Source organism: Homo sapiens, chromosome 12, assembly GCF_000001405.40.
Source record: "Homo sapiens chromosome 12, GRCh38.p14 Primary Assembly".
Taxonomy (NCBI): Eukaryota; Metazoa; Chordata; class Mammalia; order Primates; family Hominidae; genus Homo; species Homo sapiens.
In genome coordinates, this window is record NC_000012.12 from 15508399 (window position 1) to 15527714 (window position 19316).

General features: G+C 39.5%; 1 protein-coding gene across 5 annotated transcripts in view, besides 2 other annotated features; it reads left to right on the plus strand.

The window, feature by feature from the left end:
- Positions 1-19316, plus strand: part of PTPRO (protein tyrosine phosphatase receptor type O) — a 275824-nt gene that overhangs the window by 185891 nt on the left and 70617 nt on the right. For all 5 annotated transcript variants that reach the window (XR_931316.4, XR_007063106.1, NM_030667.3 and 2 more), the window contains exons 7-12: positions 173-369; positions 7100-7220; positions 8365-8558; positions 11803-11914; positions 16416-16567; positions 17744-17864. Coding sequence is in view for 3 of the 5 variants with exons in the window: in NM_030667.3 (NP_109592.1) it covers positions 173-369; positions 7100-7220; positions 8365-8558; positions 11803-11914; positions 16416-16567; positions 17744-17864 (897 nt within the window). In the remaining 2 variants the exon portion in view is untranslated. The remainder of the gene's footprint in view (positions 1-172; positions 370-7099; positions 7221-8364; positions 8559-11802; positions 11915-16415; positions 16568-17743; positions 17865-19316) is intronic.
- Positions 17160-18359: an enhancer, noted in NCBI's record as "CDK7 strongly-dependent group 2 enhancer chr12:15678492-15679691 (GRCh37/hg19 assembly coordinates)". NCBI's record gives its function as "activates an origin of replication core promoter dependent on BRD2, BRD4, P300/CBP, MED14 and CDK7 cofactors, with strong dependence on CDK7, by STARR-seq in HCT116 cells {active_cell/tissue: HCT116}" and the evidence as "EXISTENCE:reporter gene assay evidence [ECO:0000049][PMID:35650434]".
- Positions 17888-17957: an enhancer, noted in NCBI's record as "active region_6066". NCBI's record gives its function as "activates an Ori minimal core promoter by ATAC-STARR-seq in GM12878 lymphoblastoid cells {active_cell/tissue: GM12878}" and the evidence as "EXISTENCE:reporter gene assay evidence [ECO:0000049][PMID:35858748]".

A 19316-nucleotide genomic window follows, 5' to 3' on the forward strand; every position in this document is an offset into this window, starting at 1 on the left:
AGTAGAGGGTTGCAGCTGGGCAGAGGACCTGAAGAGTTGCCAGTCCGACCGCCAATCTTTCTTTGAATCTCATTGTAAGGGCAAAAAGAAAACATGATTTTTTAAACCAGAATCTTTTATCTCAATCAGTGTAACGTGCAGCCTCCCCTGTGTTCCAATTTGAAATGTGCAGGTCCTTCAGGAGAGTGGATTGAAGAACTGACCGAGAAGCCGCAGCACGTGAGTGTCCACGTTTTAAGCTCAACCACTGCCTTGATGTCCTGGACATCTTCCCAAGAGAACTACAACAGCACCATTGTGTCTGTGGTGTCGCTGACCTGCCAGAAACAAAAGGAGAGCCAGAGGCTTGAAAAGCAGTACTGCACTCAGGTAAAGGAGAGGAAATGAGAATGGGCTCGCCGGTCCTTCCTAAGCACAACCTTACAGGGCAATGCCAAGGAGGCAATTGTAGGAAGCCAGGCTGAGGTCTGCTGGGATGGGTGTGTTCTGTGACTGTTCCCAAGAGCCAGAGGGGCCAGAAATGACTGGCAATGGCTTTTTGATGGCACTGTCATCTCCCTTTCTCTTCAGAGGAGGGTCATGTTCTTTTTCATTCATTATTCAAGGGAATTTGCTGAGCATCTATGATGTGCCAGGTTCTAAGATAGATGTTGGAAATTTTTAAACATCCTGCTCTTGCAGAGCTTGTAATCTAATGAGAACAATAGATAAGTGAACATATAATGACTGCACTGTATGGAATAAGGCCTCAGCTTAAAATGAATGATGAGAGTCCAGAGGAGTTCACGGAAGAAGGAGCTGAGCGTGAGTAACATGGATGAAGGGGAAAGAGGATTTGGAAACTGGTTGGAAAAAACATCACAGAGCAGGAGACAACCAAGCAGAGGGTTGGAGGGTTTTTTGTTTGTTTGTTTGTTTTACTTTTTTCCATTCTTTTAATTTTCATTTTTACTGTAAAAGTAACGCATTCTTGCTGAAAAAAAAAAAAAACTTAAAAATGTAAAGAATATAAAGTAGGCTGGGTGTGGGGGCTCACACCTTTAATCCCAGCACTTTGGAAGGCCGAGGCGGGTGGATCACCTGAGGTCAGGAGTTCGAGACCAGCCTGGCCAACATGGTGAAAACTCGTCTCTACTAAAAATACAAAAATTAGCCAGGCGTGGTGGCACGTGCCTGTAATCCCAGCTACTCGGGAAGCTGAGGCAAGAGAATCACTTGAACCCGGGAGGTGGGGGTTGCAGTGAGCCCACTGTACTCCAGCCTGGGCAACAGAGTGAGACTCCGTCTCAAAAAAAAAGAAAAAAAAAAAAGAATATAAAGTAAAAAACTACCCCCTCACCAGTCACAACTGAAAAGAGCTTTGAAGAATATATGGGAGACAGCTGTGCACAGAGGAGAGTGAGGGGCAGGCAGAGACGGTGTGCAACTCAGTAGTCTTGTGAGTGGCTAGCAGAAGGAACGCATATGCCAGAACAAACCCTAGTGAAACTGTGCAACTGGAGCCCAGAGTGGACCTTGCTCTCAAATGCCCTGAGAACCTGGGGCCCAGTCCTATATTTCTAAATTCTGGCCTTATGTTTTTACAAGGTCAAATGTGGTGGTTCTTGGTGTCTTACAAACACATTTTCTTCCCTAAAGGCAAAAGGAAAAAAATAATTATCAATTCTTGTGGAGTACGTTGGAAATGTAATGCACAGAAAAGATGTTTGCTGTATGACAGCAATTTGGGATGTTTCCATTCCTCCCAGGAAAATTAAGCATTTAATGAAATTCAAACAATGATAAATTGTAAATTGATAAGATGAATTCAGGAATCGTGTTCTTTGGAGCACTAGAAAGCCATAGAATGCTTGAGAATGAGGTGCCCCTTGAGTTGAATTAAATTAAGGAATAAATATGCTAAACCGATTAACTAGTAATCACAGTTCATTGTGTAACTTATTAGCTTCCTTTCCTGAGCATACCCAAGATGACTGACTCATTACATTGACAGAAAAACGTGTTTTCCCCTACAGACCTTGACCTAGAACTCAACTGCTTCAAGGTACATTTCTCCCCTTGCCCTACTTAATGTACACATTATATATCTTTCACATAAGAATAAAAAGGCTAAAGGTAGAGATAGATATTGTAAATTATCAATGAGCCAGAAAAGACTAGTCCAAATGTACTTTTACAATATCTTCTCAAAATGCAAATAGGAAAACAGAACATGAAATGTCCTATTCAGGATTATAAGCAAGAAGACCAATATTTAAAGGGGAGTGCAGGAAAGAGACCACCATGCTAGGCATCATCTCAGTTACCACAAGACCTTTTTGAGATTTGTATAATATCATACCACTATAGTCCATTATGCCACTAAATAAATGTGTAGAAAAGCACCAATGGAAAGAAGATTACATAAAGTGGAAATAAGACCATCTCAGGCTCAAAGGAACCTACACTATCATCTAGTTCAACCCTATTATTTAAGAGTCCATCATATACAGGTGCAGTGGCTCATGCCTGTAATCCCAGCACTTTGGGAAGCTAAGGTGGGCAGATCACTTGAGCTCAGAAGTTCGAGACCAGCCTGGGTAACATAGTGAAACTCTGTCTCCACAAAAAAAAAAAAAAAAAAATTGCCTATCATGTACTTACTTCAATTAGCTATGCTGTCTAGTACATTTTTCTCCTTATTCCTTTAGCTGAAGAGGAATAGAACTGGTATCCATTTGGAGGGACATTGGACTCAACTAAATTCTCAGGAATGAAGATTAAGACAGTCAGGAAAAATATTGGGATGCTAAATGAGTGGAAATTAAGGGGGAGCAGAGTGTGGAAGTATTTTGTAAAAAATAAAACACATTACTTAACATGCAGAATGCAGAGGCATTCCACTTTTCCTCCTCCAACACACACCCAAGGAGGTCCAGGAGAAATAAAAAGGCATGGAGAAACATAGAAGTGTAAATATAGGTTAGCAGCTCAGTAAATATTCAGAAATTGGGGAGGATGGAAATTAGTGTTTTTAATTTATTACCAAGTCAGGTAATCTGTAATCCAATTACCCCTTTGTCATTTTTTAAGTAATATGATGTATATGCCCATAGCTACTTCTTATTTTAAAAAGTATAATATCCCTAGGATAAATTTATTATAATGGCATATTTTTGTTTGTTTGTTTGTTTGTTTATGAGACGGAGTCTCGCTCTGCTGCCAGGCTGGAGCATGGAGTGCAAAGTCATGATCTTGGCTCACTGCAACTTCCGCCTCCTGGGTTCAAGCGATTCTCCTGCCCCAGCCTCCCAATTAGCTGGGACTACAGGTGCACACCACCACACCCAGCTAATTTTTGTATTTTTAGTTGAGACGGGGTTTCACCATGCTGACCAGGATGATCTCGATCTCTTGACCTCATGATCTGCCCACCTCGGCCTTCCAAAGTGGTGGGATTACAGGCGTGAGCCACCGTGCCCGGCTATAATGGCGTATTTAAACAGCTATGATTCCAGGTAGTCATTTGAATAGTTAGAATCAACTCATAAAATATTATCAAAAGAAAGGAACCTTAACATCACCATGAAACAATCTATACTCCTTATGCCCTTTATTATTCTAAACATTCTAAATAGGCAAAATGGGTGATTAATGAGCTAGGTCAGCATTTACACTTATAGTCAGATGTCTACAATGTGTTAAGTTTAAATGGAGCAATGTTTTTTTGTTTGTTTGTTTTTGGGGGGGTTATTGAGATGGAGTCTTGCTCTGTCACCCAGGCTGGAGTGCAGTGGCGTAATCTCGGCTCACTGCAACCTCCACCTCCCAGTTTCAAGCGATTCTGTTGCCTCAACTTCCCAAGGAGCTGGGACTACAGAAGTGAGCCACCACGCCTCACTAATTTTTGTATTTTTAGTAGAGACGGGTTTTCATCGTGTTGGTCAGGCTGGTCTCAAACTCCCAACCTCAGGTGATCTGCCCACCTTGGCCTCCCAAAGTGCTGGGATTACAGGCGTGAGCCACTGCGCCCAGCCTGGAGCAATGTTGATAATATAACACATTATATGGTTTAATAGCGTATTATTTATGTGTATATGTTAGAAGAAGGTCTAGAAGAAGGCATATCAAAATGTCAGGATTTGTGGGAGGAGGAGAACAAACAAAACTTCCAATTTACTTCATTTGTTCTTTTATTGGGTGAGCAATTTTTACAATAAGCATATATGTTGTATCATATAAAGTGTATTTTAAATAAATAAAATAATATTGCTTAGTTGTGGATAATATGCATCTTCTTATCATAGTTTGTCTCTTTAGAAAATTCTCTATCAGGCCAGGCACGGCGGTTCACGCCTGTAATCCTAGCACTTTGGGAGGCCAAGGCAGGAGAGGCACTTGAGGCCAGGAGTTTGAGACCAGCCTGACCAACATAATGAAACCCTGTCTCTACTAGAAACACAAAAATAAGCTGAGCATGATGGCACACACATGTAATTCCAGCTACTTGGGTAGCTGAAGCACAAGAATCACGTGAACCCAGGAGGCAGAGGTTGCAGTGAGCCAAGATCGTGCCACTGCACTCCAGGTTGGGCAACACAGTGACAGAGCAAGACTATGTCTCAAAAAGAAAGAAAAGAGAAGAAAGAAAGAAAGAGAGAGAGAGGAAGGAAGGAAGGAGAAAGAGAAAGAAGGAAAGAAAGAAAGAAAGAAAGAAGAAAGAAAGAAAGAAAGGAAGGAAGGAAGGAAGGAAGGAAGGAAGGAAGAAAGAAAGAAAGAAAAAGAAAGAAAGAAAGAAAGAAAGAAAGAAAGAAAGAAAGAAAGAAAGAAAGAAAGAAAGAAAGAAAGAAAAGAAAGAAAGAGGGAGGGAGGGAGAGAGGGAGGGGGAAGGAAGGAGGGAGGGAGGGAAGGAAGGAAGGAAGGAAGGGAAACTCTCTATCAGATGAAGAGATATAGTTGACTAAATCTGCCTATACGGCTTCCAGCAGAATTAAAAATCTAAAACTTGTGCAAGAAACCCTGATATGAAAGAGTATAAATATGAAAGAAAGAATGAAAATCCCAATTTATTAATTCAATATAATCTTATTTTGTTTAAGTCAGTGGGAAATAAATTTTGGTATATGGCTCCTTTTACTTACATGCAGAGGAAGTTGTACCAATTCAGATTACATAATTTCTACTGTGTATAATCAGTTTCCAGTGCGAAAAGGTTTAAAATTCATATCATATCACCAGTTCTGTATGAATCCTTAAAATCTTAATGGGACTCTAAAAAACACCTTACAGCATAGATAAGCTGTAAACAACATTGTTCTCCATTGATTCATGTTCCTCCTTGGAGTAATTCCACAATTTTATGTATCCAAAAGGCCAAAAAGTTAATAAGATGAATAAAGATTAATATTTATTGATACTCTGGTTTAAACATTCTCAAACTCTATGAGGTATATAATTTTATTACCTATATCTTAGCAATGAAGTAACCAAGGTAAGAATTTTAATTAAATTATAAAGCATAAATAAACCCCCATGCTAATAATGAGTAGAGTCAGGATTTGATTCCAGGTAGTCCAAAAAAAGAATGTGTGTTCTTTCCACCAAGCAATACTGTCTTAAATATTAGAGACACTGAAGGTCAAAGCAGCACCTTAACCTTTTAGTTGAATTATCAATTCTTGTGTGTGCCAACATTCAAATTTAATAAATGCATTTTATTCATCTATACGTTCTCACTATTTTTCTCTATATGGTATTTGTTACGTATCCAAATTTTTTTTAAAAAAAGCAGGGCCAAGTGTGGTGGCTCATGCCTGTAATCCTAGCACTTTAGAAGGCCCAGGCACGTGGATCACCTGAGGTCAGGAGTCCAGAGACCAGCCTGGCCAACATGGCGAAACCTCGTCTCTACTAAAAATACAAAAATTAGCTGGGCGTGGTGGCCCACAACTGTAATCCCAGCTACTCAGGAGCCTGAGGCAGGAGAAATGCTTGAACCCGGGAGGTGGAGGTTGCAGTGAGCCCAGATCATGCCACTTCACTCCAGCCTGGGCGACAGAGTAAGACTCTGTCTCAAAAAAAAAAAAAAAAAAAAAAGAAAGAACAGTAAAGAAGGTCTCATGTAAATGAGAAATGTTCTCTACAATATTATTTTAGGGGGCTACAACAGCCTGGCAGGGTGCTTACCAGGATATCTCGATGCTTAGCACAGTGACTTGCCCATAGTGTAGATTAAAGGTCCCAACACTAGGCTTCCAGTCCCAACACTGCATCTAAATATATGACCTTGGCCATTCTCTGGCTTTACTTTATTTATTAAATGAGCACTTTGGACTAGGTAATCTCTAAGGTCATTTCCATTTATTTATTTATTTATTTTATTTATTTTTTATTTTTGTTTTTTTGAGAGCTTGTCTCACTCTGTTGCCCAGGCTGGAGTGCAGTGGCACAAACTCGGCTCACTGCACCTCTGCCTCCTGGGTTCAAGCAATTCTCCTACCTCAGCCTCCTGAGTAGCTGAGATTACAGGCACCTGCCACCATGCCTGGCTAATTTTCTTTGTATTTTAGTAGAGACAGGGTTTCACTATGTTCGTCAGGCTGGTCTTGAACTCCTGACTTCAAATGATCTGCCTGCCTTGGCCTCCCAAAGTGCTGGGATTACACGCGTGAGCCACTGTTCCCGGTGGTCATTTTCATTTCTATAATTAGATATTATATGCTTCTAAGTGACAAGAGACTAAAGACATTTCCGTACTGACCTTTGTATGTAATCAGCTGACACCACAATTTAGAATGTCAAACTATCCTCATGGTATTGCTGATTTGATTATGGTTAGAGGCTGATGTGTCTCTAGTGTGCATAGTTATAATTGACACTGATGGGTATAAAGCAGTTCACAGGGCTTAGAACAGACAAAATTTGAATCTTCTAGGTTCCCTTCAATGTTCACATAAACTATAAATCATCCTAATTTTGGAATCTGACAGCTTCAGTAAAGCCTTCTGGATTTCAAAGTCATCTGTGATTCCAAAAAGAGTCTCTGAATATTATACCAGCCTCTGTGTAACATTCTGAAATCCCAGCTCTAAATAAATCTTATTGGGTGTTTGGTTTAAAGGTGAACTCAAGCAAACCTATTATTGAAAATCTGGTTCCTGGTGCCCAGTACCAGGTTGTAATATACCTAAGGAAAGGCCCTTTGATTGGACCACCTTCAGATCCTGTGACATTTGCTATTGGTAAGTTGCTAGCCACAAGAAGAATGACTGACCTATATATTAGGGTATTGACGGAGGGGTGCAATGTGCGAGCTCAAATCATTATCATCGTATTTGGAAGGTCCATATTAGTTCATCCAATATGCTACCTTCAGAGTAATAAATAACAAGAATTGTATACTTGGAAAACATTCTTAATATTTATTACTTGGGGAAAAAATCAGAGGCAAACATTCTTACTTTAGTTTTCAATGATTATACAACAAGAGTAAAGCTGTGTGCCGTGGCACACACCTACAGTTCCAGCTACTTGGGAGGCTGAGGTGGGAGGACTGCTTGAGCCCAGAAGTTGTTTGTTTTTTTTGTTTTGTTTGTCTGGTTTTTTTTTTGTTTTGTTTTTTTTTTTTTTTGGAGACAGAGTCTCGCTCTGTCACCCAGGTTGGAATGCAGTGGTGCAATCTCAGTTCCCTGCAACTTCTGCCTCCCAGGTTCAAGCAATTCTCCTGCCTCAGCCTCCTGAGCAGCTGGGACTACAGGTACATGCCACCATGCCTGGCTAATTTTTTGTATTTTTAGTAGAGACGGGGTTTCACCGTGTTAGCCAGGATGGTCTCGATCTGACCTCGTGATCTGCCCACCTTGGCTTCCCAAAGTGCTGGGATTACAGGCATGAGCCACCACACCCAGCCAAGCCCAGAAGTTTTAATCTAGCCTTGGTAACATAGCAAGACCCTGTCTCAAAAAAAAAAAAAGAAAAGAAAGAAAAGAAGAAAGAAAGAACGAACGAAAGAGAGAGAGAGAGAAAGAAAGAAAGAGAGAAAGGAGAAAAAGTGAGAAAGAGAGTGAGAAAGAAGAGAGTGAGAAAGAGAGAGAAAAAGAAAAAGAGAGAGAAAGGAAAGAAAGAAAAGAAAGAAAGAAAGAAAAAGAAAAGAAAAGATGAAAGGAGGGAGGGAGGGAAGAAGGAAGGGGGAGGGCAGGGGGAGGGAGGAAGGAAGGGGAGGAAGCAAGAAAGGGAGGAAGGAAGGAAGGAAGGAAGGAAGGGAGGGAGGGAGGTAGGTATTGTATCAGAGAGTGAAAACTCGGGTCATTAAGTAGAAGTTTGAGGCCATTGCTAAGACATTCCTTCTTAACTTTCTTTTTCTACCCCCTGCCCTCTTCTTTCTAGTTCCCACAGGAATAAAGGATTTAATGCTCTATCCTTTGGGTCCTACGGCCGTGGTTCTGAGCTGGACCAGACCTTATTTAGGCGTGTTCAGAAAATACGTGGTTGAAATGTTTTATTTCAACCCTGCTACAATGACATCAGAGTGGACCACCTACTATGAAATAGCAGCAACTGTTTCCTTAACTGCATCCGTGGTAATCTTCCCTTAACCAACTGTCAGTCTTTCCTATGGGAACAGGCAAACCTTTATGTACCAAATGTGTCTTTAAGAAATTATCTATAAATTTGATTATTTTGTAAATACACATAGTGTGTTAGTTCATTTTCACACTGCTGATAAAGAAATAGCCAAGACTGAGCAATTTACAAAAGAAAGAAGTTTAATTGGACTTACAGTTCCACGTGGCTGGGGAAGCCTCACAATCATGACAGAAGGCAAGGAGGAGCAAGTCATGTCTTATACAGATGGCAGCAAGCAAAGAGAGCTTGTGTAGGAAAACTCCCTCTTATAATAGCCATCAGATCTCATGAGACTTATTCACTATCACAAGAACGGCATGGGAGAGACCTGCCCCCAGGATTCAGTTACTTCCCACAGGGTCCCTCGCACAACACTTGGGAATTCAAGATGAGATTTGGGTGAGAACACAACCAAACCATATTATTCTGCCCCTTGCCCCTCCCAAATCTCATGTCCTCACATTTCAAAACCAATCATGCCTTCCCAACAGTCCCGAAAAGTCTTAACTAATTAACTCGAAAGTGCACAGTCAAAAGTTTCATCTGAGACAAGGCAAGTCCCTTCTGCCTATGAGTCTGTAAAATCAAAAGCAAGTTAGTTACTTCCTAGATACACTCGGGGTACAGGCATTGACACAGCTGTTCCAAATGGGAAACATTGACCAAAACAAAGAGGCTACAGGCCCCATGCAACTCCAAAATCCACTGGGACAGTCAAATCTCAAAGCTCCAAAATGATATCCTTTGACTCCGTGTCTCACATCCAGGTCATGCTGATGCAAGAGGTGGGTTCCCATGGTCTTAGGCAGTTCCACTCCTATGGCTTTGCAGCATATATCCCCCCTCCTGGCTGCATTCACAGGCTGGCATTGAGTGTCTGCAGCTTTTCCAGGTGCACAGTGCAAGCTGTCAGTGGATCTACCATTCTGGGGTCTGGAGGATGGTGACCCTCTTCTCACAGCTCCACTAGGCAGTACCCCAGTAGGGACTCTGTGTGCAGTCTCCAGCCCCACATTTCCTTTTACATTGCCTAGCAGAGGGCATGAGGTCCCTGCCCTGCTGCAGCAAACTTTTGCCTGGGCATCCAAGTGTTTCCATACATTTTCTGAAATCTAGGTGGAGGTTCCCAAACCTCAGTTCTTGACTCCTGTGCACCCACAGTCTCAACACCACGTGGAAGCTGCCAAGCCTTGGGGCTTGCACCCTCTGAAGCCACCAAGCCTTGGGGCTTGCACCCTCTGAAGCCACCACCTGATCTCTACGTTGGCCCCTTTCACCCACAGCTGCAGCAGCTGGGATGCAGGGCACCAAGTCTCTAGGCTGTACACAGCACAGGGACCCTGGGCCTGGGCCACAAAACCACATTTTCCTCCCAGGCCTCCAGGCCTGTGATGGGAGGGGCTTCCATGAAGATCTCTGACTTGACCTGGAGACATTTTCCCCATTGTCTTGGGGATTAACATTCAACTCCTCATTACTTATTCAAATTTCTGCAGCCAACTTGAATTTCTCCTCAGAAAATGGGATTTTCTTTTCTATCACATTGTCAAGCTGCAAATTTTCCAAACTTTTATGCTCTGTTTCCCTTTTAAAACTGAATGCCTTTAACAGCACCAAGTCACCTCTTGAATGCTTTGCTGCTTAGAAATTTCTTCTGCCAGATACCCTAAATCATCTCTCTTAAGTTCAAAGTTCCAAAATCCCTAAGGGAGGCACAAAATGCTGCCAGTGTCTTTGCTAAAACGTAACAAGAATCACCTTTGCTCCAGTTCCCGACAAGTTCTTCATCCCCATCTGAGACCACCTCAGCCTAGATTTCATTGTCCATATCATTATCAGCATTTTGGTCAAAGCCATTCAACAAGTCTCTAGGGAATTCCAAACTTTCCCACATTTTACTGTCTTCTGAGCCCTCCAAACTGTTCCAGCCTCTGCCTGTTACCCAGTTCCAAATTGCTTCCACAGTTCTGGGTATCTTCTCAGCAGCACTCCACTCTCGGTACCAATTTACTGTATTCATTCGTTTCCATGCTGCTGACAAAGACATACCCAAGACTGGGCAATTTACAAAAGAAGGAGGTTTAATTGGGCTTACAGTTCCACGTGGCTGGGGAAGCCCCACAATCATGGCGGGAGGCAAAGAGGAGCAAGCCATGTCTTACATGGATGGCACCAAGCAAGAGAGCTTGTGCAGGAAAACTCCCCCTTACAATAGCCATCAGATTTCATGAGATTTACTCACTATCATCAGAACAGCACGGGAAAGACCTGCCCCCATGATTCAGTTATCTCCCACTGGGCCCCTCCCACAACACGTGGGAATTCAAGATGAGATTTGGGTGGGGACACAGCCAAACCATATCACATAGGTATGGCTATTTTCAAGTTTTTTTCATTGTTTTTGCTTTTAGGTTTTGGGATTCTCTTTTGTTTTGAGAGGGAGAGAAAGAGATAATTGTGTGAAGCTAGCTGTCAACTCTAATTGAATGTATTTGTTAATCAACATTTTTTCCTAAGCACAGAATAGAGCAATCAAGTGCTTACTGCTTCTCCTGGATCCTGGGGAGGAACACAAAGAGATTTCCCTTTGGCATTCCATAGTTAGTTGACACTGCCTAATTTTAATGATGACTTTTCATGGCATCTACAGATCAATTAAATACCTCTAATGTCAGGCTTTTAGAGGATGTTTTTTAAGAAAACAGGTAAAAATTGCTCTTTCTGAAATTGAGATAATTTTGAAAAGTGTGGGTTACCCATGGGCTATTCACAAAGTACACAATTACCCTCTACCCAGTTGAAGACTCTGAAGGACTCCTGTTCGTGGTTTACACTGAAAAAACACTGAGTTGTGAGAGGTTACTTGTCTTAGAAATAGGGAGAAATGTATGTACAGTCACTTATAAATAAGGACTGTTTCGCATGTGTAATATTAGGAAATTGCAAAATCAAACAAATATTGGAAATCTTTGGCTCTATATCTTTAAATCACTTTTAAAAATTTATATTTTTGTATTTTACTTTATGTCTCATTTCATTCTAGAAAGAATATTTTATTATAGTAAATTTAGGAAACACAAAAAGACAATATAAAGGAAAATTAAAATTACTTATTAATTTTTTATGAAAGTAAGTCTACTCCAAAAATAGTACTTTCTCCCACAGTCTTTTGTCTCCTTGCTTGCTTTTCTCATTCAGAGAATAGCTAATCTGCTGCCAGCATGGTACTACAACTTCCGGGTTACCATGGTGACGTGGGGAGATCCAGAATTGAGCTGCTGTGACAGCTCTACCATCAGCTTCATAACAGGTGAGGCATGTGTGGGGAACAGTTCCACAAGGAGAGAGCATTATTGTGAGGAGTTACCAAGGTTCCAAATCTCTAGAAAGTGCCAGTCATTCACCCAGCACTGGGTGAGCATCAATTTCATGGGAGATAATATTGATTCTGATCATTCATTATTTTGTTTAGTTGATAATCTTTAGAAATCAAAATACCATTTTTATTTTGTGTTACCACCGTTGACTTATTTTTATTCTGAGGCACTGACCTTGATTAATGTACTCTCCGGCTGGGATTGATTAGAATAGAAATATGGCAGGCACAGCCATCAGCTTCACACTGCACAGTCGATTGATTTTACCCATATGATGATTATATTTGTTAGAGTGCCTCCATTTTCTTATTAATTAAGCCATTTTTAAAGTCATAGGCTGACTGTAGTAGGGTCCCTTGTGGAAATTAAAAAATAGGGTTTAGAGACAGGTAGATCTGGATTTGAATAGACCCTCCGCATACCACATATAACCTTGAGCACGTTAACTTTTCTAAATATGTTTTTTTTAATGTGGAAAATGGGGATGATAATAGTATCAGTTATCTGTTATTATTTATTACAACTTCATTATTATATAAGCTACTTTGCAAAATACACGACACAAAGTTTAAGCACTTAAAAAACAATTAGTCTTAGATCCTCGGAAACCTTAAATTATGTAGTTGCATCATCAGTAGTCAGAGATAGCAATGAAAAGGGGAAATTCATCAAAGAAACACTAACCCTTGTGGTTTGAACTAAGACGTTTCAAGAACCTTTTATCGAACGACAAGGTTGTAATTAGAGTTGTCCTGAGAAAACAGAGGAGAAAAATACCGCTTAGAGGAATAATTTTGGCAAATAGTTTCCTCAGTAGACATCTAGTTTACTCTGTTGAAATGTATGAGAAAAAAAAAAAGTGGAAAGAAATCAATCATCTGTGAATTCTTACACAATTAACTTACATAAGCATGTCTCTTTTCTTTACTAGCCAATATCCAGAGCACTTTTTGTTCCAGATGTTAATAGTAATATTAGAGCAGAAAACTGAAAGAATACCCAAAAAGGAGAAAATAGCAGTTACTTGGCAAGCGCTGTTAGTCTTTTGCCTATAATGATAATCACATATTTAATTATAAGTAAACTTCACTGTATCAATAATTCTTATAATTTAACTATATTGATGTAAACTTTCTGAGAATGCTCTTTCCTTCTCACCAGGACAGTTGTCTGGAAAAAGCTCAGATGTAACATCTCAACCTGGGACTGCTCAATTCCAGCTGTCAAACTTTGAATTATCTTAACGATTCTGGGCTTCTATTTTCTCACCGGTAGAACCCCCTAAAATGTCAGCTAAATAGGCACTAAAGCCTACTTAGAGACAACTGATTAGTAGAGCAAAACTTAATATATTGAACACCACCCTGACAGTCTTTGCACTGTCTTTTAAGGGGGAACAAAAGAAATGAAATATTAATAGGATTTGGCTTCCTGGCTCAAGTGGTTTAAGGTATGCCTTTCAAGATGGAAAACTGACTAGGATTGGGCATAGTTTATAACAGTTTAAATGGACATAGCAAGTGTGGATCAATAAACTATGGTTAATAGACAAGCTACTTACCTGGTAAGCAGTCTGTTGTCACCAATGTATTGATGTTGATGATTTTCTATCTTTTCCTGGGTCAAATAAATAAGTGATGCTGAACCAGCAGTCTACAGGTATTGTCTCAGCATATTGACAGAGATGGTCTCAATTTTCACATCTATAAAATGGGTATAATAATAATAAATACATAATAATAAATACCTCACAGTATGTGTGAGAATTAAATCATGTAATGTAAGTCACTATTATAATAGATTATTGTCTTTTTTATACTTATTTTCTAAACATATTGAAAATTCTAGTAGGTTTTATTTTAACCTTCTTTTTTTTTTTTTTACTTTTACTTTAAGTTCTGGGATACATGTACAGAACATGCAGTTTGTTACATAGGTATACATGTGCCATGGTGGTTTGCTGCACCTATCAACCTGTCATCTAGGTTTTAAGCCCCGCATACATTAGGTATTTGTCCTAATGCTCTCCCTCCCCTTGCCCCCACCCCCCGACAGTTCTCATGTGATGCTAATACTTATAACAAACATTCATAACTAGGTATGCTTTCAAAAATAATCATTCACTGAAGAATTTGTAATATATAAAGTAAAAACGCGTGTGTGTGTGATTTTTTTTACCTTCTTATTTAAAGCAAATAAGAATCTCATGCTTAACTTTCCTATGCTTTGAATTTTCCAAATTGTGTGGTGTAAAAGAAAATAGGAACAAAATATTTGAATTAGGTGTGATTTATTAGGAACTCAAGTCTACCATCTTTGTTAGGCAATTCAGTTGGCTAGCCCTCAATCATAGTAATTATGCGGAGGGGCCAAAGTATTAATAAACAAATAGTGACATCTTGTGGCCTTCCAGCAATATGCTAGGTTTTAAAGCAACAACATGGAAATAAAAATCTGACATGTGAGAGGAAAGATATATACTTCTGGGTTTGCAATTTTAAAGATGTTTCTTTTCCTCACTAAAATTAGGACATGAGAAAATACCCTTTGAAGAAATATATGCATAGGTTCTTGTATATGACGAAATATGTTGGAATATATTAGGAGGCTATAAGGAAGCCAAGGTTATTTTCCTTTAGTAGAATATTCTGAAATATGATGTAGATTTGTGTTACTTGTTAGATGCATTGATGATCTTTCAAGATTTTATTGCTAAGCATACTATATAAGTGCTACTCGTATTTCACATGAAACAAATGCATTTTTACTTCATATATTACAAATTCTTCAGTGAATAATTTTGAAAGCATAGCTAGTTATGAATGTTTGTTGTAAGTATTAGCATCACATTAGGGGAAATGATTCTTTATAGAAAATTTCCATAGATTTTAGTTGACATTGTGCTGTATCTCAGAATGGAACACCGACTGTCTTCAAACCAACATACACCTGGAATTTAAATTCAATTGTGTATTTGTTTTTTAAAATAATCAGAGTTAGCAGTTACTTTAAAAAGGTAATTAAAATGTTTTCAGAGCCTATATAGTATAAAGCTTGTGATGAATTCTCTTCCCTCGTTGGCAAATTTTTTATTTTATTTATTTACGTTTTTTGGCTGGGCGTGGAAGCTCACGCCTGAAATCCCAGCACTTTGGGAAGCCACGATGGGTGGATTGCTTGAGCCCAGGAGTTCAAGACAAGTCTAGGCAATATAGAAAGACCCTGTCTCTACAAAAAATATAAAAATTAGCTGGATATGAAGGCCTGTACCTGTAGTCCTAGCTACTTGGTAGACTGAGGCAGGAGGGATGATTGAGCCTGGGAGGTCGAGGCTGCAGTAAGCTGAGATTGCGCCACTGCACTCCAGCTTGCGTGACAGATTGAGATCCTGCCTCAAAAGTAAAAATAAAATAAAATAAAAGTAATTTTTTTTTTTGAGGCAGGGTCTCACTCTGTCACCCAGGCTGGAATGCAGTGGCAGGCTCATGCCTCACTGCAGCCTGGATCTCCTGGGCTCAAATAGTCCTCCCACCTCAGCCTCCCTAGTAGGTGGGACAACAGGGTGTGCCACCATGCCCAGCTGAATCTTCTAATTTTTTTGTAGAGATGGGGTTTTGCTATGTTGCACAGGCTGGTCTTGAACTGGACTCAAGCGATCCACCCACCTCAGCTTCCCGAAATGCAGGGATTACAGGCATTCCCTGCTTAAATTTTTAAAAATTTAAATGCATAAGATGATAAAGTAGCAAGCTCAGTGTTAGAATTTAGCTTCGTGGCTAAAAAAAAAAAAAAAAAAAACTTGTTCTTCCCTTCTTTCTCTCTCTCACTACTCACTCAGCAACATTTATTAAGAGCCTGTTTTCTGCAAAGCACTGGGCTAGACACTGTCAAAAATAATGTCTTGTTATTTTATGCAAATAACATTTGTCTTCTATCCTGCTTGTAGTACTATGATCTTCTATCTTCCTACCCTTGTATCCTACTGTTCTTTATTCCCATAAACACCTTTGCTGCAAGTAAATGAAAGAGACTTAGTTTGCAGGACTCTAAGTTTTTTAATCCTACTTGGCTAATAACTCCACTGATACCTATTAATATTAATTGGTTGATGTAACAAAAATATACCCAAACAAGTGAACTTTTTAGGAATTTTGTAATGGTGACATTTATCCAAAAGACTTTGATATCCTCAGGTACAGATGGGTCTGGGGGTCTTGTATCTTAGATATACAAGATGTGGGATCCCATTAAACAAGTGCCCATCCTGTATCACCATCCTTCACTGTTATTGAGAGGTCCTGAAGTTACCGGGACTATCGTGTGCTGTGAATTCTAATTCGCTAAGTTGACTCTATATGGGATTTCATGCTCTGCTGGTAAGTACTTTATTTATCCATCTATTATACTAAATTGTGCCTCGTTTCTCCCTTGTAGCCCCAGTGGCTCCGGAAATCACTTCTGTGGAATATTTCAACAGTCTGTTATATATCAGTTGGACATATGGGGATGATACAACGGACTTGTCCCATTCTAGAATGCTTCACTGGATGGTGGTTGCAGAAGGAAAAAAGAAAATTAAAAAGAGTGTATGTTTCTTTGAATGCCAGCATTGTGTGTCTGTAAATTTAGTTTTATGAACTATTGAAAACCACTAAGCAATCATTTATTGACACGTCAAATGTTTGCATACCAGTTGTCTGTTTTAGGCTCTGGAGATAAGACAGTGAACAAAAATTGAATTCTTCCTTTCATAGAGCTTACCGTTTAATCTTTAACAGTGAGATGTAAGAGCTCCAACTATTGATTTCATTTATATTTAGAATTATGATTTGAGCTTTTTCTTCAGGATGCCAAACATTTTCAAGAAAACTACAATTAACGTGTTTCCCATTTTTTCCCATATATCACCGACACCTAAAGATTTGGGGACCTTGGGACTACTGATTTCTTTTCTCCAAAATACGCTTTTGGATGTTTATTGATAAGGGGACAGACTAAACTACTGTAATAAAGAAACAAACAAAAAGAGAGTGGCTCAAACAAAATAGAAGTTTATACCTCTCCCATGATAGCACAGGACTAACCAGGCACTTCTGCTTTAAGGGGTCACCCAGGGAGGCAAATTCTGTTTTGTTGTTCCATCTGCCACTATGCATAGTCCTTGTCTCTAGAGAGGAAGCTTTATCACCATTACATGCATGTTCCAGCCTGCAGGAAGGGGAAAAGAAAAGGGATGATGTGGAAGCCCAGCACTTACAGGATGTGAACTGAACTGTCATTTGTCCATGTGACTTCTACTTACAATCCACTGATCAGAGCTGGGTCACATCATCCCCTCTAGCTGTAGGAGAGGATGGGAAATAACAATGGCTGTTAGGTAGGAAGCCACACGTCTACAGATATGGGTAGGTTTCTTTTGAACGTCTTAGAATGTACATATCAGTAGCAACTCAGTAATTGTCTTTTCTAAAACCTGTTATCAATATGTGAGAAAATGTCAGAATGAGACCCATTCCAAATAAGGGAATTCATTGCAAAATTTTTCTGATGTATATAATGCATTATTAAGGCTACCTCACATTGGGCCCAGCTGAGGAATTTATAAAATTTTCAGAAGATATAACGTATCTATAATATAATCAATTGCAGACTGCTGCATAGAACAGAGAGGGAATGTGTCTGCTATAGTCCTTTAGTTGTTTGGGGTGGTGCACTGATTCATTCACTAAAAGTTTAAACCCTTGATTTTGATGATCTTGCAGGTAACACGCAATGTCATGACTGCAATTCTCAGCTTGCCTCCAGGCGACATCTATAACCTCTCAGTAACTGCTTGTACTGAAAGAGGAAGTAATACCTCCATGCTCCGCCTTGTCAAGCTAGGTAAGAAGAGTGCACAGAGATGGGTGTGAAATAATCACTAATGTTTGCATCATTCGATTCAGCAAGAGCTCCTCAATTCAATGAAATAATAACAGAAAAATGGCTAATTTTTTATGAGTAGAAAATAGACATTTGTACTAGCAAAAGGGTATGTTCAACTTGGTACAAGTTTCTGTGAGTGGGTTGTATACTGTTCTGGGAAACAGTGGTGTTCGCTGTTCTTTGTAAGGTTAAAGAAACCAGGTAGTCATAGGATTTTGGAGATGGAAGCACATTAGAGATTATCTAATGCAGTGTTCACAACCCTATAAGACAACATTCTATTTTCATATTAATATTATGTAATGCTCTCTTTAATATCTTAAATAGTAATGGATTTAAAAATCTACATATTGATTTTTTAAATTTTATATAGTTTCCCAACTCCAGAATAAAATCAAGACAAAAAGAAACTAATTTATAATAAAATAATATGGATTTCCTAAATATATGGTCAGACACAACTACTCTAAAAGACATAATGAAATTACCTGATGCCTAGATATAATTAAAATGAATAAGTTGGGGTTTATAAGAAATAAAAAGATCATTAGTCCTTCATATAAGAAGTATAAAAATAAGCAAAGAAATGAACAAGTTAATATAAATTGATAACAAATAACTAAACAAGCATAGATACAGGTAGATACTAGAATAAAAACTAGAGTTAAAATAAGTACTAAAAGATGAGATATATTTTCATATAATGAGAGAAAGATGGAAATAATTTTAATTAAAGTAGGGACAACACACCAAAAGTTTATAAATGGCAGCATAGAAGCAAGCTGGCTTCACTCCCCTCTACCCAACAGAAAACCAAAAGCAAATATACACTCTGAGATTTTCACCAGCAACAACCCAGAACTCAAATACGAGGATGCGACCGATTCCAGAGCCATAGAGAAGTGAAAATACTCTGGGCAGATGGTAGGAGAATCAGGCTTCCACATTCGTGACGCCTCCCCCGCGATTCTGCCTGGCAACAAGTGTGCAGAAAATCTTCTGCCAACTCATGTTTCTACACTGGAAAAAGTGAGGTTGAGGTAGTCAACTAGTTTCCCCACTATCTTGGGCTCCCTGGCAGGAAATCTGTCCTTGCCTTAACCCACAGGAAGCATCGTGACTGCCTGAAGGGAGAAATAGCTTGAGGATAGGCAGAAACAAAGAGATGAGATGGAACTACCATTCCCAGTCCCAGCAACTCTGCTCTGTAACTTGGCCAAAGGAGACACCAAATCAGAGTGGCTGTTCAGCAGCACCATACTGTAGGAGGTACATTTCACAGGTCCCTTGGGCATGAGCCCCCCAGCTAACTTTGACACACTGCCAGGATAATTCCTTTAAGACCTTTCTTTTTCAGGACAGGCAGAGCCAAGGCAAATCTGGACTTAAGGTGCCACCTAGAGCTGAAAT